The sequence below is a fragment of the Homo sapiens genome, chromosome 3, assembly GCF_000001405.40.
Source record: "Homo sapiens chromosome 3, GRCh38.p14 Primary Assembly".
NCBI lineage: Eukaryota > Metazoa > Chordata > Mammalia > Primates > Hominidae > Homo > Homo sapiens.
Genome location: NC_000003.12, coordinates 4,523,351 through 4,551,109, shown reverse-complemented (window position 1 = coordinate 4,551,109; position 27,759 = coordinate 4,523,351). Strand labels below are relative to the sequence as shown.

The window sequence follows — 27,759 nt, the reverse complement described above, 5'->3', positions numbered from 1 at the left end:
TTCTCTTCCAAGTTGCTGTCCCCTCAAATACATACACATGAGCACTTCAGCTACATCTGCTCTGTGGGGAGGGGAAGATAGCTCTATGTGAGATGTAAACACAAAGGCAGGCAGCACTATTCTATTCTCAGTCCTCTTCCTCTTCACCAACCATTTTTGTTCCTAGTGGAGTCATCTCAATCTTCAACAAGTTAGTGTTTCTTTTCTTTCTTTTTTTTTTTTTAAAGACAGGGTCTGCCTCTGTCACCCAAGCTGGAGTACAGTAGCATGATCATAGCTCACTGCAGCCTCTACTTCCTGGGCTTGGGCTTGAATGAGCCTCCTGCCTTAGCCTCCCTAGTAGCTGGGACTACATGTGTGTACCACTATGCCTCGCTAACTTTTTAATTTTTTGTAGAGACAGGATCTCACTATGTTGCCCAGGCTGGTTTCAAACCCCTAGTTTCAAGCAGTCCTCCTACCTCTCAGTGTTTCTTCTTTTTTTTACTTCTTTCAGCCCATGCTGGAAAAGTCTGCCATTTGTCCCATGAACGAAATCTAACTTGGAGATAACTGGCCTAATTATGCTCTCAGGGAATTTCTATTTTTCATGTAACAGTTTAGGGATATTTATTATGTCCCAGGCATGAGGATAACAATAGTCTGCAATCATTTATTATGGACCAGGCACTACATGATTTTCATGAAGCACGCAATAAAATCACTGTCACGACCCCGTTAGGTAGATGGCAGCGCGTCTGTGGGTTGGACGGTCACCAAGCGCTCTGGCAGCGGACTGGTCAATGCCCATTTGCTGTCACCTGTGCCTACAGTGTTTCTGCTGTGAGATGGGGAAGCTTGCTGTGGCCCTTGAGTCTAAACAGCACATGTGCTGGAAATCCCCAACATGGCCCTGCTCAGAGAGATCTGGGGTCTCAGAGAACTTTTAATAGCCAGAAATTAACCCCACCGAGAATAGCTTTCTGGCATGCGCCAAGCTGTTAGCAGACAACTTGCTAATAATGACAGGGGAATGTTAAAACTATAGAGAAAGAGACTGAAAGCACAGGAAATCCTGCAGACATTGATTTCATTAGCCAAAACAGTCCTCTAAAGAAAACAGAGGCATTGAAGGGTTGTCTCAAGAAGAAAATCTTGTTTTGTTTTTTGGCGGCAGGGAAGAACAAACCACCCTTGGCTTTTCAGTTAGTAGACATATCCACGTCCTTTTCTTTCCTCCCTTTTCTGCCCTCGAAAGGTTCCGACTATGTGGGGGCATTTCCTGAGTCAGAATCACCTCCATGGGAGAATATGCAGAGAAATGGCCCAAGAGAAAGAGACAGTTAATTCTGACAATTTCTTACTTCTCAGCACTCCAAGTTATAGGTCTAGGAGGAAAAAAGGGCCAGAGGCTACTGATGAAAACCCAAGATGAAGAACCCAAGACTTTGGTTCCATTCCCCAGAAGAGGACGGCAGCCCCACTTTTCAGATGGAAGACAGCACCTAAGGCACTTGGGAAAAAATTCATCTGGTCAGAGATACCAAAATGTTCCAGGTTTCAAAAAGAAGAGAAAAGAAAGAAAAGGGGAAAGGAGGAAGGGAGGAAGGAAGGGAGGAAGGGAAAAAGGAAGAGAGGGAGGGAGGGAGGGGTCCTCCAAATTCAAGGGCTGATGTTTGTGAGAAATGAACAAAGCACTTTAATGCTTCATTTACAATGAGGCTGTCAGGATTTTAGAAGCTTAGAAGTTCTTTCCTACTTTTTATTTTTTGCCACAGAAAAATAACTTCAGGCCCCTCTGCTTAAACCGCCCTGGTTAAGTCTCTAAATTATGTGCAATGTCAATTTTAAACATTCTGTGACAAAATGCAAACAATGATTACTAAATACCCCTGTCAGTGCATTTGTCTATTTTTAAAAAGAAAAGCATCATATTTATTTAAACTATGTATTATAAGGCAAATTGGTATTTAGAAGTTTCTTTGTAAACATTTACACACTACAATTTTCATGTTAACTAATAATTCATAAAAATTAACAAATGGAGAGGGCTTAAGTTCTTTCCTGCTAACTTGACAACCAAGAGTGGCCTGGTGTTGTTTGCACTCTGTGACCAAGAAGAAAAACAAGTCCCCCCCTCCCGAAAAGTGACTCCTTGGTAACATGGGAACACACATCGGCCTTCCATTTCAAGAAGTCAGTTTTTACTGAGAAGGGAGAATAACCCAGATCTTCTTAATGGGGTTCCCAGACTAGGTGAGAATTGGAACAAGTGTCTAATGCAAACACTTACTGGAAACTTGTTTCTCTGACTTACAGAGAATGTGGGTTTCTAAGAAGTTACTTTAGATTAAAAGGTCATTAGTTATTTCAGATTAAAATTGGAGGGCTAGTGGCTTTTCAATTTAGTTACTAGCCCTCAAATTTAGCCCCCAAATGAAACTCCTGACTTGACTGAGACATCCCCCCAAATAAAATGCCTTTCATGTCACCTTGAACGAACTGAAGTGACCAATGAAAAGGGTCACTGGCACAACTCCAATAAACAGGACAAAGAGTTCATTCATCACTACCTGTACATTTCATAAGGAGGCATACGGGCTTCGGGAAAAGGTGCTGAAATTTGTTTTCTGCATGACAGAAATTAAACAGTTGCTAAATAGACCAAATTAAAGTCACATGCCATTAGAGCAATAAGAAATAAAGGAATGAGTATTTACTAAAAAGACAAGAATGTCCTAGTTTCACACACACGCACACCCCTTTTCACTTTACGAGTTCTTGAATGATGTTGCTAGAAAATATTGTGGAAAAGGAAATCCAAATGTATAACCAACCCAAACTTGATGTTTGAATGCAGTACAAAGGTGAAAAACTGAAGATGAATGCTGACTGAGACATAGTACACAATCAATTAACCAAATCCAATTCCACCGGTTTTAACTCAATTGCAATTTAATCTTGGCTGTGTCTTTCCACTTACAGTCAGATAAAGTCTTATTAACTTTATCCAGTACTAAAAACAAACCTGGGCTGAGCTGGGGAAAGACTCCCTCACCCTACATAGCTCTGACAAAGTGCTGACAAATAAGAGAGGGTCTGATTATTAAATTCAACATGAGAAATAAGAAGTAGAATGGCTTACTCACAGGCCGGTACTTAGACTGAGCCAATCCTGTAGCTATGCTTCGTAAGTGGATGCAGAAGTAACTTGAATTTAACAGAGTGAAAAAAAAATAATCTGAATGATACTCAAAGGCCTCCGCACAAAGAAACAGGCTGGTGTCCTGTTTGATATTCCACCTATCACCCACTAAGTCCTGAGGAGGGAAGGGCAAGGGTGGTTTTGATGTATTTGAGGTTGAACTCCTCGGACTGGGTAAATACTTAAATTCCCAGTGTAACTGCATATGAAGGGGGTTGGGAATCAACCTTTTTATGTGCCTACGAGACTCCTAACAGATCACCTTTCTTGATGTGGATATTATGCTACAGTTTAAGTAACTAAGTTCCAAAGGTATTAGCGTGTAATAAATGGTAAAGCCAGTACTTGAACCCAAGTTACATTACAGAGTCTTTCATATTGTCACCGTGCCACCCTACCGCCCTATGTGCTAAAGTCCTTTGAAGCCATAGAGGCCTGGATACAATTAAGGGGGACAAATCCATGTCATCTAGAGGGAAATGGAAGTAGGAGGCCCAGGAGCAGTAACACAAGACACATGTGAAGAACGGTCTTTTCATTGCTTATATTACAGCTTTCCATGAATGGTAAGTTTAGAAGAAAGTTTTAATTCCTTTGCTAAGTGGCTTTAATAAATACATATGTTATTTATTCATATGAGTAAATGTAAGTGATAAATCTATGTGCTTCTTAAAACTAAGATGTAAGAATAAAAATAAAATGTCAGGCCGAATCTTTCCTAAAAGAGAAATTAAAGTTTATCAGGGACGTGAGGGAATCTGAGACAGTGAAGAGACTGTAACTACAACCGTACTATAAATCATGCCTAGCACAGGCCTTGAATGGAGTAGACACTCAATAAAAGTTTTGCTGTGTTTCACTTTCTAGTCCAACGTGTTCATGCCACAGATGAAGCAGCAAAGGCCCAGACAGGTCAAGAGCGTTATTGGAGGTCACACTGCTAGTCAGGGACAAACCAAAGACTGGGACTCAAGTCCTCCAGCTCCTAAACCAGTGTTGTTTTCCAAACACTCAAAGTTAAGCCTTCAGTGGCCCCTCTCTTCCCCTGGTCCTATCTTATGAGCCCACACTTCTTCACACAGCACTTCCTTCAGGGTGGTATGTCAAGATTTCATCAGAATGCAGCACAAGATGATTCAAAGGGATTAAAAAAAAAAAAAAAAAAGGTCAGAGTTGGCCCAGCGCTTGGTTTATGTCACTGAATTTGAATCATCACCCTACACCTCTGCCATTAAATTATTTGTCTATCCTTAAGACAGATTCACAACCTGTTTAAGTAGATGACGTTTTAAGAGGAAACAACACAAAGGACACTACTGCTTGCGGACTTCTGTGGCTGAAGGCAGAGCATGCATTTGCTACTGACTGGTCAGAGGAACACCAGCTAGAGTGAACGGTGCACGAGCTCTGTCTGAGGCAAGAACTCCTGGAAAGGAGGAAAGATTCAGGAACTCTTAGCTCCAAGTCTTGGCTCTACCTCTGGCTAGAATTCTTAGTTTGGGCAAGTTTCATAACCTCAGAGGTCATCCTCTTTTGGCTGGAAAATGGGTATAATCCACCAACTTCACAAAGTTGTGATGAGGAAAAAATGACATAGAAGCAGATGACAGGTTCGAGTGCTCACACCCTCTAATGCACCAGCAATCCTAAGGTCCTGCCGTGGTGCCTGGAGAAGACACTTTCTGCTCCCCAACTCTATCCTCTCAAAGAAAAGAATTCCTTCTTCCAACTCAAGAAGAACTCAAGAAGAGGGGGAAAAATTTACATCATTATCATGATAATCATGTACACTGACTGCACGCTTAAAATGTACCTGACGTTGTCTCAAGAGCATTGCATATCTCCTTTAATCCCCCGAACCTCTAAAGTTGTTCTTGTTGTGACCGTTTTACTCAAGAGCAAATTAAGACATAGAAAAATTAAATATTTCGCTCAAGATCACATGTCACGCCTGTAATCCCAGCACTTTGGGAGGCTGAGGCAGGAGGATCGCTTGAGCTCAGGAGTTCAAAACCACCCTTGGTAACATAGTGAGATCCCGTCTCTACAAAAAATTAAAAATTAGCCAAGCATGGGGGTCCTAGCCTATAGTCCTGACTACTCAGGAGGCTGAGGCGGGAGAATCACTTGAGCCCAGGAGGCTGAGGCTACAGTAAGCCTGGATCACGCCACTGCACTCTAGCCTGGGTGACAGAGCAAGACTCTGTCTTTAAAAAAAAAAAAAAAAAAAAAAAGTTTGCATACTAGCCGTGATATGAACACAAAAAAAGATGCTTCCAAAGCCTTTTTTTTTTTTTTTTTTTGAGACCGGGTCCCGTTCTGTTGCCCAGGCTGCAGTGCAGTGGCACAGTCATGGCTCACTTCAGCTTCAGTCTCCTAGGGTCCAGAGATCCTTACACCTCAGCCTCCTCAGTAGCTGGGACCACAGGCATGTGCCACCAAGCCCAACAAATTATTCTATTTTCTGTAGAGACGGAGTCTCACCTTGTTGCCCAGACTGGTCTCAAACTCCTGGGCTCAAGTGATCCTCACATCTTGGCCTCCCAAAGTGCTGGAATTACAGGCAGGAGCCACTGTACCCAGTCCAAATTCTTTAATATACCATAAGCAGCCTCCATATACAAGTATAGAAATAAGAACAGGAAAGTTTCCACACTGCTTTCTGGGAAAAACTACTTCCTCCTTTAGGATGAAAAGGAAAATAAATATTAAAGTTTAAACAGATCAACTGATTCATTTTGGGTTTTTCTCTCATCTGTTCGAGGGTGAAAATTATTAACCAAATTGTTCTTGATTCTACCAGGGAGCTTTTGATTCATGAGAAGCTCCAGGCTGAGCACAGTGGCTCACACCTGTAATCCCAGCACTTTGGGAGGCTGAGGCGGAAGGATTGCTAGAGCCCAGGAGTTCGAGACCAGCTTGGGCAACATAGGGAGACTCCATCTATACAAAAAAATAAACAAAATTAGCCAGGCATGGTGGCACACACCTATAGTCCCAGCTACTTGGGGGCTGAAGTGGAAGGATTGCTTAAGCCTAAGAGGTCAAGGCTGTAGGCTGTGAGTGCACCACCACACGCACTCCAGTCTGGGCAACAGAGTAAGACCCTGTCTAAAAAATAAAAAGTTGTTGTTGCAATGAAAGCAAAGCTATGGGCAAGCTAAGAGAATGACCCTCTGCCAACGCCATCACTTAAAAGGGATGACAGATAAAGAGAAAATCTCAGACTATGCATTTCCCTTTACGAAGTTAGCAATGTCAGTCCAAAACGACTGAGAGGATCCCTCCCAAACTTGGTCATGTGTATAAAATGCTTTTTTCTTTACCTAGCCCCACTTAGCTAGCCAAACTAAGGCATCACTAACAAAAAGCAGAAACTATTAGCTTAGGTACTTCTCAGATGCAAGCCAATAAAACAAATGAAGTGCCTATTACTCATTAAAGCCTCTGCTGTCACTAACACTCATACTATTTATGGTGAATACTGGCATCAGGTGAATACGTATGGTTGCTTGCATCCATTTGAGATGGCTAGAGTAAGAGCTACTTGCTCCTGTGGATAGTTACATTACCTGTACTGTCGACAAAAGCTGGTATTCTTCAATCACCAAGACACTAAAAACTAGATGGAAGGAGAATCACTTGGATTCCTCAATGTGCAACCAATAAACCACAGTATAGAAAGCTTGTTGTCTCCCAAACAATTTCCACCACATGGTGACCTGGCTGCTTCTTAACATAAAGGCTGAAAAGACAAAACCTCACTTCCAGTCAAACTCTCTGCAGCTAGGAATAAGCATTAAACCCAATTTTGACTAATGAAATAAAAGTAGACTGCTAGGAGCATGAAGATAAGTTTTTGTTGTCTTAAAAAAAAAGGAACAGGAATGAAAGGAGAGCTCACTGTGTTGTCCCTTATTCCTTATCATGAAAGCAAACAGGATGCCTGGAACCACTGCAGCTATTTTGTAACCATGAAGTGACAAGAACATGGTGGGGATGGGGGCACCCATACACTAAGGATGTGGAGCAAAAAGACACGATTTTGAGACTTTCACTACATAAGATATTGCCTATCTCTGGATTTCTAAGGAAACAACAAATGCCCTTATGTTTTAAGCCACTATTAGGTGGATTTTCTCTCTTACTTGCAGTCAAAATCATTCCTAACAGACTTAAATACGGCCAGGCATGGTGGCTCACACCTGTAATCCCAGCACTTTGGGAGGCCGAGGTGGGCAGATCACTTGAGATCAGGAGTTCAAGACCAGCCTGGCCAACAGGGTGAAACCCCATCTCTACTAAAAATACAAAAATTAGCCAGGCGTGGTGGCACGTGCCTATAGCCCCAGCTACTCAGGAGGCTGAGGCAAGAGGATCACTTGAACAAATATCATTCTTTATCCCTTGATTACCATCACAGTGGATACCTGGACTGTATATTTATTACCTGTTTTGTTTTTGTTTTTGTTTTGTTTTGTTTTGATTTGTTTTTGGAACTGAGTCTAGCCTAAATGGTTTTCTTGGGAGCTTCCATGTTAACACAGGTAATCCAAGTCCCCAGCCTAAGCAGATTGACCCAGAGGAGGAAATCTGACCCAAACTCAACCACAAAGTTCCTTATCTAGAATTGCTTTTTTCTTTTTTTTCTCTTTTTTTTTTTTGAGACAGGCTCTTGCTCTGTCGCCCAGGCTGCAGTGCAGTGACACAATCACAGCTCACTGCAGCCTTGGGGTCAAGCAATCCTCCCACCTAAGCCTGTCGAGTAGCTGAAACTATAGGTGTGAGCCACCACACCCAGGCACTTGTTTAAATATTCAAACACGGATCAGTCTTTCTCCAATGATTATAACTGTAAAATTATACATTTTAAGAGCTATGGGTAGCAATGTTTTCAATCACACAGAAAATGACAGTGAGACAAAAAAAGGAGCAGGAAGCAAGTATGCATTTCTTACAGTATCAATTAATACACAGAAAAAGCTGGATGAAATATTAGAAAACATTTTGAAATGTACTGAAGCAGTTATATAGAAGGGAATCCAGAGAAGCCCGCAATGAAGTGGAAACAAGACCCCTGGAAGGTATGTCCTTTCTAAAGCGAGAACTCTGAGAATATCTGGAGAACCTAATAACCTTCCATTATGATACTAGTGCCAGGTAGAGGGGATAAAGCTCTGCACCTACTCAAGATCAAAAGTTTTCTAAGAGACCATTGCATAAAGCTCAGACCCACCCCCCCGCCACACACAAGAAGCTACAGCTTCAATGCAATGGTGAACAACAAACCAACCAACCCTAAAAATAGGAAGGCAAGGTAACTTGTTTGTGAACTACGAGGAGAGTTTTCTCTCTTATACCTAGAGCCAAAGTCAAGATAAATAAGTTACCCTCATACTCGTTTGTCACCCTAATTAACATATATAGGAAATTCCCAAAATTTAAGCAAAAAATACCTAAAACAAAATTTTAAAATTTTCAGGCAAAGAATTTGATTTAAATAGTCTTGAGTTGGCAGCATCTCTGGCAACTGGCAAAAGGAAACAATTTTCTGGGGAGAAACATGACTTTAACCCAGGCCTCAAACAATTCCCACAGATGAAATGCCAAAAAAACACAAGCTGATAGTCAAAATCACAAAACACACAGGGAAATAAGATACCATTTTCAGAAACAGCCAATGTAGAAAATAGAATAAGATCTGTAGAGATAGCACCTACTGTAATTTTTAGAGATAGAATATATTTAAAGTGTGCTTTTTTGGTAACAGGAAGTAAAGTAGAAGCTTGAAAATATGGAGGAATGAGAATGACCAAACGTTTCAGAAGTCCCAAATAGAACATTTAGAAATGGAAAAATATAATTCAAATTAAACTCTCAATGAATACAGAGCAGATTATAATAGAACAGAAATAGTAAACAAAGATGAGAAGAAATTACCTAGAGTCCAGCCTATGGAGCAAAGATGAAAAAGATGGCGAGATTAAAAAATAGCCTAAAGCGGCTGGGCGCAGTGGCTCATGCCTATAATCCTTGCGCTTTGGGAGGCCAAGGTGGGTGTATCATCAGGTCAAGAGATTGAGACTATCCTGGCCAACATGGTGAAATCCCATTTCTACTAAAAATACAAAAATTAGCTGGGCATGGTGGCACGTGCTGGTAGTCCCAGCTACTCGGGAGGCTGAGGCAGGAGAACGGCTTGAACCTGGGAGGCGGAGGTTGCAGTGAGCCGAGATCACGCCACTGCACTCCAGCCTGGCAACAGAGTGAGACTCCATCTCAAAAAAAAAAAAGTGGTATTTGAATAGATAACAGCTCGGAATTCTCCATAATTGCTAACAAAAAACAACCTCAAATCTAGGAACTTAACAAATATCATGCAGGATAAATAAAAAGAAACTGACACCTATATTCATACTAGTAAAATTACAGAAAATCAAAGACAGAGATTCCTCTAAAGTAACCAGAGGGGAAAAAAAAATACTGAGCAAGGTTGCTTTTAACAACAATGAAAGGCAAAAAAATAATGATGCTGACAGAAAGTACCCATCAATCTACAATTCTAAACCAAGCAAAACTGTCACCTAAAAATAAAAGTAAAATTTTCAGAGAATTAAAAGTGAATATTTTCAAACAAAATAGAATTTACCACTAACAGATTCTCCAAATTCTAAGAATGTGCTTGAGGCAGAAAAAAAATTATCCAAGATAGGTATAGTAAATACTAATACGTAAGTTAATTTTTTTAATGACAATATAAAACAAAATCATATCTAATATGCAAGTTTTAATATAAAACAAAGCACTAACATCATGAACAGGAGCATAGACTGAGAGAGGATGACAGGAGTTTAAATATTCTATAATGTCCTAGTATTGTAGGAGAGAATAATGATAGTTATAAACTTTAGGGTTAATTAAATATGCACGTTAAAATATCTGAGGTAACTTCTATTAAAAAAAAACACATATAAAGTATATCCTCCAAATCAGTAGAGGGGGAAATAACAGAATGGAGAACAACAATGAAAAAAACCTTCAATGAAGCACAGCTAGGCGTGGTGTCTCACATCTGTAATCCCAGTACTTTGGGAGCCTGAGGCAGGTGGATAGTTTGAGCCCAGGAGTTCAAGACCAGACTGGGCAATATGTTGAAACCCTGTCTCTACTAAAAATACAAAAATTAGCCAGGCATGGTGGCATGCCTGTAATCCCAGCTACTCAGGGGGAGAACCACTTGAACCCAGGAGGCAGAGATTACAGCAAGCCGAGATCAAGCCACTGTACTCCAGCCTGTGTGACAGAGTGAGACCCTGTCTCAAACACACACACGTGCACACACACATACACACACACACAAAAGCCTTCGATGAAACTTAAAGGAGGGGGAAAAAAAGATTTAAAAAACCCCACAAATTAAAATCATAAATATAAATACATTACAACAAATGTAAATGGACTAAACATTCCAATTAATAGATAATAGACAAAGATGGTCAGAGAGAGTAGTTCTCTAGTTATGTACAGTTTATGAGAGACAGCTCTAAAATATAATGACAGAGAATTTAAAAGTAAATAAAATGTATATTTAAACAAATACTAACTAAAACAATTCTGGTGTAGGTATATTAATATCAGACAAAACAGACTATAAGACGTCAAACACCATTAGAAAGAAAAATGTTTCTTACATAATGATAAATATTTAGTTCACCAGAAAGTAATAATAATTGTATAAATCTAAGCATTTACTAATATAACCTCATTATACATAAAGAAAAAACTGAGGGTAAGGCAAAAGAAAAAACCTTTTTAAAAAACTTAAAAACTACAAGGCAAAATTGCACACCTACTGTCACAGTGAGAATTTTTTTAACCCTTTTAACTAATTTACTTATAGTAAAATTCACTGTAAGTAATTTTCCTTTTTTTTTTTTTTTTGCATCTTAGTCTGCTTTCCATTGCTTATAACAGAATACCTGAAACTGGGTAATTTGTAAGGAAAAGAAATTTATTTCTTAAGTTATAGAAGGTAAGAAGATCCAAGTCAGAGGCCACATCTGGTGACAGCCCTCTTGCTGGTAAGGACTCTCTAAAGAGTCCCTCGGCAGCACAGGGTATCCCATGGCGATGGGGCTGAGCATGCTAATGTACTAACTTGGGTCCCTCTTCCTCTTCTTATAAAGCCATCAGTTCTCTTTCCATGATAACTCATTAATCCATTAACCCATTAAATCCATTAGTCCATGAATGAATCACCTCTTAAAGGCCCCACTTCTCAACACTGCCACATTGAAGACCAAGTTCCAACCTCAGTTTTGGGAGGGGACATTCAAGCCATAGCACCGTATACAGTTCTATGAGTTTTAACATATACACAAATTCATGCAACCACCACCATAATCAGGAACAATTCCATAAGCCCAAAATATTAATAGAAAATTTTAACAAATGTCTCTCAACACTGGATAGATCAAGGAGATAAAAAAACCAACAAACTCATATATAGCACATTGCACCTAAGATTGGAAATATATATATATTCTTTCAAGCACAGTAGAACATGCATAAAATTTGATAACTTGCTAGGCCACAAAGCAAGCCTCTCAAGTTGTAAAGGACTGATAAAACAAAGATATTATCTGACCAACACACAACTAAGTTGTAAAACATTTTTTCAAAAAAGAGAACTAGAAACATCCCTTAAAATCAGAACTATAAAAATACTTCTAAATAACTCGTAGGTATAAAAAATAACAGACATAAGAAAATAATTAGAACTCAATAAGAAAAATACTGCATGTCAAAATGTGTAGGAAGAAACTAAGGCAATTTTTTGAAGTCAATGTTTATAATTATTTCATATGCATACATATAAATTTTTTAAAATCTTAAGTTCTGGAATACATGTGCAGGATGTGCATGTGTTTGTTACATAGGTAAATATGTGTCATGGTGGTTTGCTACTCCTATCAACCTATCACCTAGGTATTAAGCCCCGCATGCATTAGCTGTTTATTCTGATGCTCTTCCTCCCCTCACCCATCCCCTAAAAGGCCCCAGTGTGTGTTGCTCCCCTCTCTGTGTCCACGCATTCTCATTGTTCAGCTCCCACTTATAAGTGAGAACATGCAATGTTTGGTTTTCTGTTCTTGAATTAGTTTGCTCCATCCATGTCCCTGCAAAGGACATGATCTTGTTCCTTTTTATAGCTGCATAGTATTCCATGGTGTATATATACCAAATTTTCTTTATCCAGTCTATCACTGATGGGCATCTGGGTTGATTCCACGCCTTTGCTATTGTGAATAGTGCTGCAATGAACATACATGTGCATGTATCTTTAGAACAGAATGATTTATATTCCCTTGGGTTTAAACCCAGGAATGGGATTGCTGGGTCGAATGGTATTTCTGATTCTAGGTCTTTGAGGAATCGCCACACTGTCTTCCATGATGATTGAACTAATTTACATTCCCACCAACAGTGTAAAAACATTCCTATTTCTCTACAACCTCACCAGCATCTGTTGTTCCTGACTTTTTAATAATTACCATTCTGACTGGCGTGAGATGGTATCTCACTGTGGTTTTGATTTGCATTTCTCTAATGATCAGTGATGTCGAGCTTTTTTCATATGTTTCTTGGCCACATAAATGTCTTCTTTTGAGAAGTGTCTGTTCATGTCCTTTGCTTGCTTTTTAATAGGGTTGTTTGGTTTTTTTCTTGTAAATTTGTTTAAGTTTAAGGCAATATTTTAAGGGAATTTATAGATTAAGATGCTTAACATTACAATTTGAGAAGTCAGATTTGTAAATTGATTATCTAATTTAAAAGAATAAAGGAAGAACAAAATAAATCTAAAGAAAGAGAATGAAGAAAATAAAAACAAAGGCAAACATTAATGAACTTCAAAACCAACCTATCGTAGAAAGAATTAATAAAGCCAAAATTTGTTTCTTTAAAGAGTAATAAGACAGAAAAAACATGGGTCAGTGCTTATTCAAGAAAAAAAAGAACGCACAAATAAACAATATTAGGACAATTACTACTGTATTCTTACCAATGCTATAACAAATAATCAAAAACGTAGTGGCTTAAAGCAACACAAATCTACTCTCTCAAAGTCATGGAGGTAAGAAGTCTAAAATCAAGGTATCAGCAGGGCTGCATTCCTCTGGAGACTTCAAGAGAGAATCAATTTTCTTGACTTTTGCAGCTTCCTGCATTCCTTGGCTCATGGCTACATCACTCCAACCTATTGTTTCTATCCTCCCATCTCCTATTAACTCGAATCCTCCTGCTTCTAGCCTACAAGGACCCTTGTGATCAGGCACACCTGGAAATCCAGGATACTCTCCCCATCTCAAGAGCCTTAATTAATCACATCTGTGAAATCCCTATACCATATGAGGTAACATATTCACAGGTAACATATACTAGGATGAAGACATTCAGGGGCCATTCTTCAGCCTACCACAAGGACAAAACCAGTCAATCTAGGAACAAAATAATACAAGGAGACTATAGATTTGAAAACTTAGATGACATGGGTAAATTTCTAGAAGAACAGAGCTTACAATATTTACCCAGGAAGAAACAGCCCTTTAAAGACATAAGGAATGTGAATCAGTAGTTAATTTTGACATAAAGAAAACAGATGGCTGGGATGACTTTACTCACGTGTTCTACCAAACTGTCAAGGAACAGATAATTCCAATATTACACAAACTCCCCTAGAGAATAAAAAAAGGAAACACTCCACAACTCATTTTCAGTGTGGTATAACCTTGATATCAAAACCCGAAGAGGACAGGACAAGAAACCAAGGTGAAAGATGCACAGAAAGAAGACACAAGATATGGACGTAGGCTGCTGACAGTACTCAAATGCCTGAATCTGTGTTTTCCTGAGCCCCTGCTGCACTCCTGTCCTTCATGCAATTCAGCTGTTCGTCTGGGATTGACCCCAAAAAATCCCCCTTTTGTTTAGGTTAGTTTAAGCTATCATCCAAAATCAAGAGTCTAGTTCACCATTCCAACAACCAACCTGACACATCTAACCTCTTCAATGGTATTTGCTAAATATCAACTCAATTATCCATATTCATGGAAGGGCCTGTGGATATTTGGGTAATGAAAGCCAGGTCAACTAGAAGTAATTTAAAATGCATGCTGTCACTTTTCCAGCAAGCTCTCTTACTGCATTTTTCGTAAGCTATTATTAACATGAATTCAAATTATTTGGGCACAGTGATCTGATGGCATAGATAAAAACAATGAACATCAGGGGACTAAAAGCTCATCTGGGATTCAACATTCTCCAAGAATAATCCACAAAGTAGTTCTCACTCATCTCTCTTCATAAAATTGCAAATTCCTTAAGGGCAGGGAGCATTTCTATTCATTCAGGTAGGTGACCTTGTAAATAGTCAAGAAGCTTGCACAATCCAATGACCTTTGAGGCTGTGTTTCTAAGAGTCTTGCCAAGGACATATTTTCCATTGCAATAGTTGAGATGCCACTACAGAAACATGCAAAATGGTAAAAACGTCAAACAAAAACATTTGTATTCCCTTAAATATACCTCACCCTTCCAATTCTATTAGATAGTTATCTTAAAGTCCAATTAAAAAGCTGAAATCATAAAACTGAAATTAAGAAAATGTATCAATATGTAATTGACAAAGAGATACAACAATAGAAGTTCAAGAAAACCCAGAGCAATGTTTCCAATCAGTGATAAACCTGGCAAACGACTGAACTCCAGTTGCACCTCTGCAGCCTCCAGGGCAGGTGATAATAAAATCAGAGAAGAGTGTCAATGAAGGACCAGAAACCTCTTTGTCCTGAAATTACAAAATCTGGAAGCCACTTCATTCCAGAAATGGTACCACAGCTTTCTAAGTTCACACAATATTGATGACATTTCCAGCCACTATCAGAAACATGAGCTACTGCTGGGGCTCTTGATAAGTAGATGAAAAGAGATGTCAAATTTTACATAATCTTCATACAGATTATTGCTTATGGCCTGTGGAGTTGGGGGAGGCAGATATAGCTGTACTCAGAACTAGGAGACGTTGGCCCCACTTAATCACACATTAGGCATTCAAAGGAACAAGAGTCTAGAAATTAGTTGCTTTAAAATGCCCAGATTTTGGAGAGAAAATAACTTTCCTGGCTGGGCGAGGTGACTCACACCTCTAATCCCAGCACTTTGGGAGGCCGAGGCGGGTGGATCACAAGGTCAGGAGATTGAGACCATCCTGGCTAACACAGTGAAACCCCGTCTCTACTAAATATACAAAAAAAAATTAGCCGGGCGTGGTGGCAGGCACCTGTAGTCCCAGCTACTCGGGAGGCTGAGGCAGGAGAATGGTGTGAACCCAGGAGGCGGAGCTTGGAGTGAGCCGAGATTGCGCCACTGCACTCCAGCCTGGGCAACAGAGCAAGACTCCGTCTCAAAAAAAAAAAAAAAAAATTAAAAAAAAAAAAAAGAAAATAATTTTCCTTCACATAAAGTCATCTAGCAGATCACCAACAAGTGTCCTTATCAGAATCCTAGCCCAACATCATTTTCACATCTTGCCTTGTTAGTTTGTACCCTGTAGGGGACAACTGGAAATAATGCTGAATGTTTTATTTTGCTCTCTCAGCAAGCTGTATAAATTCATTCCTGACAGATCTGAAAATAAAACCAATACTAACATTTTTAAAAGAAGTAAAGTTCTTGTAGCTTGCAAGAGACCAGTAAAGGAGCACTGTGGGTTTCCTCCCTCCCCCCGCCCAGATCAAGGGACTGCATTCCCCTGGGCTTTTATATCCTTGTATAATATTTAATTAAATACTCTGTTCCTACTGGTTTATGTACTAGAGAACACTAATTTTAGAAAACCGATTAGCTGGTTCTTTCTAACTGTATGTTATTGTAGCTAAGGTCAAATTTTTCACTGAAACTATGGTAACAAAACCCCGTATTCTTTGTCGACAAGACCGAAGCAAAGTTCTCAAGTGATAGTCCTTCACTTGATTGCTAAACCTAAGTTGGGTTATTCTATTTCCTACCTTTACCTCAAATGCCACGATTCTGGGAATGGTTATAGGGGGAGGAGAGGACCTTAGTCACAGAAATTTGCTAGCATAAGTCCAAGCGAGCTTATATATAAGTGTCATCACTGATAACATTTTTAGACACATATAATTTTAGCAGCACAAAACATCCAGACATTTCAGAAGCACCCAAATTGGAACTCAAATGTACCCGGAAAAATACCAGACGAAGAAAGGAACTTTTAAATCTCAGTTAGAGGAATAATTGCCCAACTTATTTTCTCAATTATTGCAACTGCTCAAGTTGGAGTTTTTCTACACTGACCTCCAGCTATTGTTTTGGAAAGGAAAACACGTGGGTTCTTTGAAAAGATGTATTCTTTTCTTCACACCTATAGCCCCTCTCCACTTATCTCTCCCAAATCAGTGCCAATGAGAATAAGCACAATTTTTGCCTCCTGTAAGAGCCAGGCTGACCACTCACCTTGGGGAGAGATGCCTCCACCTTGGCCAATAATATAGAAGTAGCCGCCACCGGGGGAGCTAAACAATGGGTACACATGGACATAATAGAGGGGAATAATAAACACTGGAGGTTCCAAAAGGTGTGGGGGTGGTACGGGTTGAAAAATTACCCATTGGGTACAATGTTCACTACCGGGGCCATGGGTACACTAAAAGACCAAAGTTCACCACTACACAATACATCCAAGTAACAAAACTGCACTTGTATCCCCTAAATCTATTAAAAGAGAAAAAGAAGTAGCCTCTGGACATTCCTTCTGCAAATGCAACTGTCCTCAAAGCCCGGGAGAGAATGCCACTTGGCAGGCTGGCTGGCAGAAACCTCTCTAAACATGCAAGGAGCACGTTGGGGGCAGGGAAGGGCAGCTTTTGGGAAAGAGCAGATTGGCAATAACTTCCTCCTGTCTGTCAAGAGTCACTGGAATGCCTGCTGTTTGGGGTAAGATAAACACAACTTCCTCTCTGGCTAGGCTTGTAATTCTATACAGAAGGCAGGATTACCATCTCGAGCAAACGACCCGTCAGTAACTGAGGCTCTGATCAAGGCTCGTGCGAGGAGAGAAAAGCCCTGATGGCTTCTTTTCTAATAGCCCCAAGCTCTGTCATAGCTGGTTACCAGGCCCACTCAATAAAATCTAAAAAATTCAGGAAGGCTAAAGTCTGCCTGGCTATGGATTCCTTTGTATACTCCACTGGCTGAGTTTTTAAAACGGACATATCGATGTTTTACAAGATGGCAAAGGCCATGTTTGAGCTTCCTAAGAGATGTCCCGAAAGCTGCTAATTGCAAATTCAGTCACAATAGCCACTCTTCACTGAGTGCTGAGGCTGTATTGCAGGTATTTACTGTGTTACACATGCACCAAATCATCCTCACACAAGCCTATCAGCTCCACAGTGTTATTCACCATGGCAGCCAGGTGGGGAAACTAAGGCATAGACAGGTTAAATGACTTGCCTGTGGTCATATAACTAGTAAGAGCAGGGCAGGGACTTGAACCCATGACTGACTCCAGAGCCTGTGCTCCTAACCACCACGCTGTAGTGTCTCCCCAGGACATCTTACCCACTCATTATGACCGGATTCGGCAAGCCTTGACTTAGAAAGCTATTGTTTTTTTCTATTTGTTCATTTTTTCAAACATTCAATAATGCCATCTTTCCACTAATGTTCTCTTACCAATTGGATTGAACCCATTCAGTTTCCAGAGAGTTTCTTGTCTACAGTGCATCTGTGCTCTCCCCAGCTGTTTATTGACCCAACGCTCCCAACCATAGGGCTTCCACAGGAAGCAAAAACAGAAAGAACAGCTGGGTCCTTCGGTGGGAAAACACACACAGTCAAATGGAATCATCCATCTAACCTCTGTCCCAGAGCAGAAATTCCCTCTGCAAAATCCCCGACAGATGGTCAGCCCTCTTTGAATCGGGGGAAACTCAGTAATTTGAAGCAGGCCTCTTCTTTGAGTAACTGCTCAGCACTAATAGTCAGAATTAAGTTCTTTTAAGCCTCATATTCTACCTCTGGGCACTTTGATCCACTAGCCCTCATTCTCTATTGCTCTGGGCTCAGAACATCTGTCTTCTATAGGACAGCCATAAAATAAGGGAAGATAACAGTCAGTGGCTCCCGAGAGCCTTGCAGGAGCATGACAACTTGTTAGAAATGTAGAATCTCGGCAGGGTGCCGTGGCTCATGCCTGTAATCCCGATACTTTTGGAGGACAAAGTGGGAGGATCAGTTGAGCCCAGGAGTTTAAGACCAGCCTGGGCAACGTGGCGAAACCCCGTCTCTACAAAAAATACAAAAATTAGCTGGGTGTGGTGACACACGCCTGTAATCCCAGCTACTCAGGATTAGGAGGCTGAGGGGGGAAGATCACTTAAGCCTGGGAAGTCAAGGCTGCGGTGGGCCTTGATTGCATCACTGCTCTCCAGCCTGAGCTACAGAGCAAGACCCTATCTCAAAAAATAAAAATAAAATAAATAAAAAAGAAATGTAGAATCTCAGGTCTCACTTCAGACTACCTAATTAGAATCTACACTTTAACAAGATTCCAGGTGGTTCCTATACGCAGTCAGATCTCAGAAGCAATGCCTTAGAGGTCTCTCTTCATTCATTCCACAAACATTTTAGTTCCTAATATAGTCCAGAACCTGTGCAAAGCCTTAGGGAGACAGGCATGGTTTCTGTCCTCACAGTTAATGCAATAGGGGGGAAGGGCTAAGTCAAAACCATCAAGTTAAAAGTCAAAACCAAAAATTAGCAGTGTTATGGCATTTAATATGGACCAGGTAGTCCCGTAAGTGCTTTACACAGATTAACTCATTTAATCCTCATGAAAACCCTGTGAGGTATACATAATAATTTCCCCATTTTCCAGATGAGAAAGTGGAGGCATTGCCAGGTTAAGTAATACATCTGAGATGACATGACCAGTCAAAAGCAGGGCTGAGAGCCAAACCCACAGGGTCTGGCTTCAGAGTCTGTGCAAAAGGAGCAGCTGCTTGCCTGCACACAAAGGTTCAGTAAAGGTGCCCCAGAGGAGATGCCTGAGATTTGAAGGTTGAGTGGGCATTAGAAAGACTGGGGGGTCCAGGAAGGAACAACAGAGATAGGGAGATCATTTCAGGCAGAAGAAACAGGACATGCAAAGTCCCAGAGTACAGAGCAAGTATTCTGACTGCCAGAAGGAAGTCAATCCATCTGGATGGAGCAGAGAACCTGGAGGAGTTACTGCAGATAAGGCTGAGAGGTAAGCAGTGGTGACTCATGCAGACTGCTGGGAACCCTGAGAGTGTGTCTTTTATCCTGAGCACAACTGGGGAACCACTATGAGGTTCCAAGCAGCTGAATGACATCTTCAGACCTGTGCTGATTCCCCTAGCCGCAGTAAACGGTGGATTGGAGGAGGTGTCCACACTCAGACACAAAGGAGGCAAAGGTGGAATTACAGAAACAGGTGAGGAGTCTGTGCAGCAACTTTGGTGAGAAATGTTGTTGCCGGAGCTAATCTAAAACGTCATCATTCAATATCGAATGGAGACCTAGCCTCCAAGTTACCCCTGCGTTAGCTTTATTCCCACGAAGCAACATGCCTTTGAAATGTGGAACCTAGGACATCAGAAGCCTCAAGTGTTTTCTGAGCAGCCCAACTCTGTGAATTCACTTAAGTGGCAGACACTGTGTGGTCCTCCAGACATAGGTTCAAATCCCAGATACACCTTGATTGCTAACCCTCTGTGGGTTCAGGGTGCCCAACTGTAAAATGGGGACATAACAGTACCCATGTCACAGTGTGCTCCAACGGTCAAGAACAAAAGCATGCATGACCCTATCAGAAAGCCAAGCACAAAGGAGGAAGGTACTTAACAATTATTTGTTTTTCATGCTCATGTACTGAATGCAGCCAAGGAATCTCAAAACTATAGGCATGAAAGAGAGAAAAAAGATCAAACATTAGGAGTCAAGGAGAAGACACTCTCAGAGAATGAGACCAATAAGATCCACTTTCCAGGGAGAAGACGAGTCAACTACAAGACAGTTTTAGGGGTTGTTGTTGTTGTTGTTGTTGAGTCTTGCTCTGTTGCCCAGGCTGGAGTGCAGTGGTGCAAACATGGCTCACTGCGGCCTCAACCTACTGGGCTCAAGCAACCCTCCTGCCTCAGCCTCCTGTGTAGCAGGGACTACATGTGACCACCACCATGCTTGGCTAATTTCATTTTTTGTAGAGACAGGATCTCACTTTGTTGCCCAGGCAGGTCTCAAACTCCTAGGCTCAAGCCATCCTCCCGCCTTGGCCTCTCAAAGTTCTGGGATTGCAGGCATGAGCCACCATGCCCAGCCTACAGGAAAGCTTTTCAAGAGTAACAGGCTCAGGTAGTTTGGAGCAAGATTACAGGGCAGCGTTAAGTCATCAGTGTAAAAAGATCAGCGGCCATTCAATTTAAAATGTCAGCAAAAACACTGCTAGAACTGGGAGCAGTCAAAATCATATCAGAAAAGAACACCAATTCCTTTTCAACCAGTATTTAAAGAAGGACCAACATTATGCCAGGTGCTGGGCCAGGAGTGCAGGGCAAGATTTGGTCCCTTTGAGTGCTCCAAAATCTGGCGAGGAGAAAACAGTAGCTGTGTATTTATCAGATAGTGATAAATACTATACTCAAGATTGTTAAGTAGGCGGTTAGCATGCCCCTCTTGTCTGTAGACTTTTTCTTCTGTGTCAATGCAGCTCACAATGACATACTTTGGGGTTGCAGAGGAGGAAGTTAAGAAATCGGGTAATTTTTGTCAAAGAATATTTCAAGGCCAGTCCACTTCTAAAGGCAGTTTAGAGTAGCTGTTAAGAGGAGGATTTATGGTGTTAGATTGACTGGGTTCAAATCCCAGCTCTGCCACTTCTAGCTACGTGATCTTGGACCAGACACTAAACATCTTACATGTCAGTTTCCTCATCTGTAGAAAGGTACCGGTCTTACTTATGGGGTTGTTATGAGGATTAAATAAATGAGTGTATGTAAAGTATATTAATTAAATAGATTATATTCACTAATGTCTCTTAGCACTACACAAGGTATTCACTATTATTTGCATTTATAAAAAGTAGGTTATCATTAATTACACAGGGTGATGGAACCAAAAAAAATTTTTAATTCATGGCTCAAACACAGAAGCCTAAAAGACAGTGTGAGTAGAAACTGGGGTTGTGCCCCAACCCTAGTTTTGGCACAGGATTGCTCTTTGACCCCAGGAGACTTTCTAAATCCCTCTAATTTTCTCACATGTCAAACAAGAAAGGAAAAGAGTTATCATAAGCTCAAGTGATTCACCACACATCTTCATCAATGCTCAAGACGGGATTATAAAACCCTTTGCCAAAAGAAAAAGTCCGTAATCAACCACAGTATACTGCTTTCAGGAGAACCATATAACAATATGACAATATGACAATATGACCCCATTACGCTTGCTGAGATTTCCAAATCAATTTCACCCTCAATGGAGGAAGTCACAAAAGCAATACAGTGATTCAATTGGAGGACAAGGTAAACTTATTTATTGCACTAGAAGCATTTTATGCACATAGTGAAAATGGTTCTCCATTAGCAACTAAATCATAAGGGTAAATGACTATAAAAGAGGGGTCTGAGGTCTACTTTCCAGGGTGACTCAGGTATGCAAAAAAGAATGGATCCAGGGCATCAAAGTAAACACAAATTCCCTTATGCTCATTTTCAGGGTACCCAGAGCCTTCAGACATGCATCTCATAGCTTGAAGCAAGTAGGCAGCAATCCAGTGAGGGATACGCTGCAGTGTGTGGGACTCCAGCATAATCAGGCAGCAGGCACCATCCCCAGCGATTGTGTAACACACTGTGAACATTCTATGTTGCCCAGGGAATTGACTTAAATTACAGTTTTGTTCCCTTTAAATGGAGTCTGTTGGTCCAAGATTGAGATAAACTAGTAAATCTGAAATGAAGATTACAAAAAACTATTAATCTTTTTATTAAATTTGAATTGATTTTGTGAATACAGAACAAGTTGGAGGAGACTCTCCTACAAGGCAGCTGCACACACTCTTGAAACCTTCAATATGCCTCAAGGCATATACTTGACAAGCACCTTAAATAGACTGATTTTTCTGCCTTATTTAACAAGACAGGCAGAAAGTAAGTCCTATACCCCTACTATGAAAGGCCTGTCATGGATTAGAATCAAAAGAACAAACAAAATTTAAGTTAGGCCCTCCCCTTTGCATGAGGGTATTTAAAACTAAGTAAGATACGGATTCATTCCTTCGATGCCTTGCCAAAAGAAAAAAATCAAAAAATACTGTTGCTTAGCAACATTTAAAACAATGTGCGGCAAAGGAGGGTCGTTTGAAAGAAAGCTAAGCCGGTGAGTTTGTTATAGCCACCCTAGATGACCTTTGTGACCCAAGACCCTGCCTGTGTCCCCATCTGGCCTAAGGGTAAGGTTAAGGCCTGGCTATTACCAGCACTCATCTATCTTGACAAAGAGACCTGTAATCCCAAAGAAATAAGAACCTATTTCTGGACAGCACAAGGCTTCTAACGTTAACCTGCCTGTTTCCGCCACTAATAGCAAAGTTTCAAGCTGGATGAAATCTTGGAAAAACCCAATTTAACAGATGGGGAAACTGAGGCTAAGAGAGACGAAATCACTTCTCCAAGGTATTGGAGCAGTTCATGGCAGATTCTGGGCTGGATGCTAGCTCTGGCATCCAGAGGTTGCTCTTTCCCCTATATTTAACCTAAATTGCAGGCAAGACCAAGATCAGAGAAGTAGGCTATTGACACTCAAGTGTTTCTTATCACTCAAGCATGAAAAATGCCATTCTTATTTGAGGACCCTTCCTAAGCTGCTGGGAGGTTTCAAAGTCAATTACAAAGAGCTTGCATGAGATGTAAAACCCTTCTCTCTCTCAATAAAATAATCCTACTAAATCCACCAGCATGCTACTAAAAGGGGCTAACATGGTGCCAGCACTCTGGGACTGGGGAAAGAAGGCACCAATAAAAATAAAAAGGCCACAAGTGTGATCCTCAAGTTCATGGCCATGCTTTAGGTCCAAGAGCGGCTCATTATAGCCAAGCAACATACTCTTCTCCATGCCAGTATCATGGTGACTGCACAATACTCAGACTGTCATTATTTCTAGCCGGGCATATGTTGAGGAACCAGGGGTCTTCCACCAACATTTTACTCTGGAAATGCCCAGAAACTGGGTTATACTGCCCCAGGCCAGACCCTCGTTTGCACTACAAACAGGACTCATCCTACTGTAAGTAACATACTGCGCATCCCACAGCTGGTTGGGGCAATGGCTAAAAGTGCATTAAGTGTGGCAGGGTGCAGTGGCTCACACCAGTAATCCCAGCAATTTGAGAGGCCAAGGTGGTGGATGGCTTGGGGCCATGAGTTCAAGACCAGCCTGAGCACCATACAAGACCCCCATCTCTACAAAAATTTAAAAAGAAGCCAGGCATGATGGGGTATGTCCGTAGTCCCAGCTACTCGGGAGGCTTAGGAAGGAGGATGGTTTGAACCCAGAAGGTCGAGGCTGCAGTGAGCCATGACCACACAATTGCAATCCAGCCTGGGCAACAGAGTGAGACCTTGTCTCCATAAAACTACAAAGGAAGAAAAGCACTGGGCCCAGCCTTTGGAAGAGGGCTCTGGCTACGACACTCATAAGTCACATGGCACTGGACCAGCTCATAACTTGTCATCTCAAATGGCATCAGGTACCAAATAGATGCGCTCTGGTCTCAGGGTGCTGCACAGCGAAAGATTAGGACATGAAAAGCATCCTCATTTACTTTTCCCCAGTAGGCCAGGTTTTATACTAGGTAGGAAGAAATTTCACCTGCTTTGCTTCTACTTATATATAAATAGTTGCAGTGAAGACAACAAATTACTCTAAAGAAGTTTCTTAAAGATTTTCACTACATATTGATGTAGACTTCTTTGAGAATGTCTCTTTCCTCATGGAGTACAAATGGCTGGCACATGGGAACTACCCAATAAGTGTTTGTGAAATGAATGATAATCATTCTAAGAAGTGACATTTAACTGACTATGGGCAAGTTACCCAACTTCTTAGAGCTTCCATTTCCTCAACTGCATAATGGGAACATCAAGACCTACACCTCATAGGTGGGTTCCTCAGATTAAAAGAGATAATTCAAAGGAAGTGCTTTGCACAAAATAAATGCTGTATTAACATTGGCTATTGTAACTTATAATGTGGGTCTGTTTCTCCATGAAACTCTAAGACTCCTGAAAGCAAGAAGGAGTGTAACTCATCTTGTCCTGCCATCACCAAGGCCAGCAGCTGGTACACAGTAGGGCCTCAGCGCTGGAGGTCAACACTCATTTTTCACAATACATTTGCTTAGATTAGACTATGATGCTTGAAACCAACTTCACTGGGAAAGAGAAATGTAAGATACTTATCTGGAACATCCACATATTCAGTCTGTCTGATCCCCTCCCCAATTCATATGAACCACTTAGTGATAGAATAATGATTCCTTTCACCTCATTTTTTCCTGCCCCAACTTCTCCTCATTTTGAACTGTAAGTTTCCCTTCGAACAGCTTTTATTCTGAAACTAAGGGGCTCCCTGCAAAGTTAAAAGCTGCACATTTTGATATTATTGATATGGTAACATCTGTCCAACATCAAGAATTTGGAGCCATGACTGGCCTCTTGATGTGAACAGAGAAGATTAGGTTTTGAAAGCAAGAGCCTGACTGTTGCCCGAATCTTATGCAATAATGGCATGATCAACACTAAAGCCTATCTAATTGCCCAAAAGCCCAGTTCCCTTGTTTCTACTCCAACAACCCTGGAGGTGATTTATATTTAAAAAGAGCAGAGATTCTGGGAGCAAAATGAAGACTGGTTGTTAGTTTCCACCTTTTCTTTGTAGATATCTTTATATTTAGCACCGGGGGAGCTGGGGGAGGGACTGGTAAAAGTGGGAAGAGGAAAAGATAATACAGATAAAGGAATTCACTAACCACAAAGTTTCTATTCCCTGTTTCAATCTGATGTTTGCCTTCTCTATTCTTTCAAGATTATGGGCAAAGACAACACAAATCAGGGAGAAGAGGAGGTTCTGCCTTACCTTCCATGGATGTTGGGGCTTTAAAATGGTACCATATTAATAAAAGAACTAAAGTTGCTGTATTATTCTAAGTCTCAGCTCTCCTCATCCCTTACGAGGACAATGATATTGTCCAAAATTCATTCAGATGAAAAAGATGTGGCTTATGTGAAACAGATGTGCAGCCAACCTTTTCTTCCTACAGAGGAAGTTAGAGGCAAGAGATACATTCAAGGAAATCACACACACACACAAAAAAAGCAATTCACTTTGGAAATGTACTTTCAACCATCAGAGAAAAAAAAGCAAGTGTGTTCGATGTTGAACTCTTCTATATCTTCTGTTCGATGTTGAACTCTTCTATATCTACTGTGAAAATTAACAGCAACCACTCACTGAACAACTACTGTGTACTAAGCACTCTATTAGGCTTTTTATGCATATTATCTTGATAAGGATGGAATTGTTTGACCCTAACTCACAAGTGAGGAAAGAAGCTGAGAAATATTATGGAATCTATCAAGGTTACTCAGCTTGCATACACGAGCACTGGGGCTCAAATCCAAGCCCAGGGGTTCATGTGCACGTCCCCACCCACAAACAATTTGAAGACAAAAAAAAAATAACAATATATAATTATTCTCATAAAATTAAACATGAGATTTACAAGTACCAGGCTCTGTACTAAGTACTGGGAATACAAAGAAAAGAATAAGGCTTAAACTCTTAACTAAGGGTCAGACTCCCCCCGTACTAAATTCTTAACACACAATTAATCTTCTCAATGACCTTATGAGATAGAGCCTATTATCCTCTCCCATTTTACAGGTGAGAAAACCAAGGTTGGCAAAGGTGAAGTAATCTGTTCAGGGTCACACAGCAAAGAATTCATGGAACTTGGATATGAACCAGGAAGCCTGATCCAAGAGCCTCTTTTATTAACCATTAGGGCTGCAGATCTCAGGAGCTCACAAAATTAAAGATGCAAAGTCAGAAGCCATGGGGAATATTGCATAAACAGGCCTTGGATTTCCATTTACTTAAGAACAGGTTATGATGGTTCTCAATATAGGAAATAACTTGGCAAGGAAACAATGGAAGCAAGAGCAAACCCAAATGACTACATGCAGCTCTGCTGATTGCTCAGATAAAGACTCCATCATCCCATTCGGCTGCTTGCCAGCATCTCACTTTTCCATATGTGTTTGTTAAACTCTAGGGTGCAACGAGTCCATGAGGAAATGGACTAGAAATGCCTCCAAATTGCCCAACTGCCCTATGCACAATTTCTAAACATCAAAATGACTTCAGCTCCAAAATACACTTATATTTGGAAACGCAGCAATTGCTTCCAAAAGAGAGATCTTTCTCTTCATTTAAAAAAAAAAAAAAAAAAAAAAAAAAACGTCAAAGTATGCTGCACCGCAGTTGAAGGAATGCTTTGGAAAATTTTTTAAAACTCACTGCCCAAGTTCCACGGTGGAGAAGCAGATCTTTCCAGCACTGAGGCAGCCTGCAAAGGCAGAGCTGCCTAGGCCCCTCACCTGGGTGCAGGGGACCTCTGGTTTAGCACATGGAATTAAGGAAGTCCTGACCTACATTCCCAAAGCCTGCAGCAGAGCTTGTTTTGAACCAGATTTTCCCACAAGGACGAAGCATCTCACAACCCAGAAACCTTTATTTTTAATTTAGGGAGAAAAGCACTCAACAAATCAAGTCACTGTCACGTGACCACCTGTAGAACCAGGCCAGGCTGTAAAAGGAGTTTGCTTCCTTCCAAATAGCTTCTGTCAGACTATTACCGTTATCTCAAAACAGTCACTTCAAATCAGCCACCATACATACATCCAAGCACCAGGCACCTTTACAGTCGTGCCAGAAAAACATGTCTCCTCCGACTTCCCCTGCTATAGTCCTATTTATTTTTAACATTCTAACCCTGTATTCAAACAGTCCCTGGTTCATTTGTGACAACATGAATGAACCCGGAGGACATTATGCTAAGTGAAATAAGCCAGGCACAGAAAGACGAATACCACATGATCTTGCTTATATGTGGAATCTAAAAAGATTGAACTCCTAGAAACAGAGAGTGGAACAGTGGTCACCAGGGGCTGGGGTGGAGGATTGAGAGGTTGGCCAAGGGATACAGATTTCAGTTAGGAGGAATAAGTTCCAGAGATCTACTGTACAACACAGTGACTACAGCAAATAACAATACACCGTATATTTGAAACTCACTAAGAGTAGTTTTTAAATGTTCTCACCAAAAAAAATAATAAGCATGTGAGGTAATGTATATATGAATTAACTCAATTTAGCCATTCCACTATACATGCATATTCTAAAACATCAT

The 27,759-nt window shown here is 40.8% G+C and overlaps 1 protein-coding gene across 4 annotated transcripts in view, besides 1 other annotated feature; it reads right to left on the bottom strand.

Annotated features, from left to right (window-relative positions):
• The window catches only part of ITPR1 (inositol 1,4,5-trisphosphate receptor type 1), a 354,159-nt gene that overhangs the window by 296,397 nt on the left and 30,003 nt on the right, over positions 1-27,759 (bottom strand).
• Positions 17,011-17,305: an enhancer, noted in NCBI's record as "tiled region #14798; K562 Activating DNase unmatched - State 5:Enh". NCBI's record gives its function as "activates a minimal TATA promoter and a strong SV40 promoter by Sharpr-MPRA in K562 cells {active_cell/tissue: K562}" and the evidence as "EXISTENCE:reporter gene assay evidence [ECO:0000049][PMID:27701403]".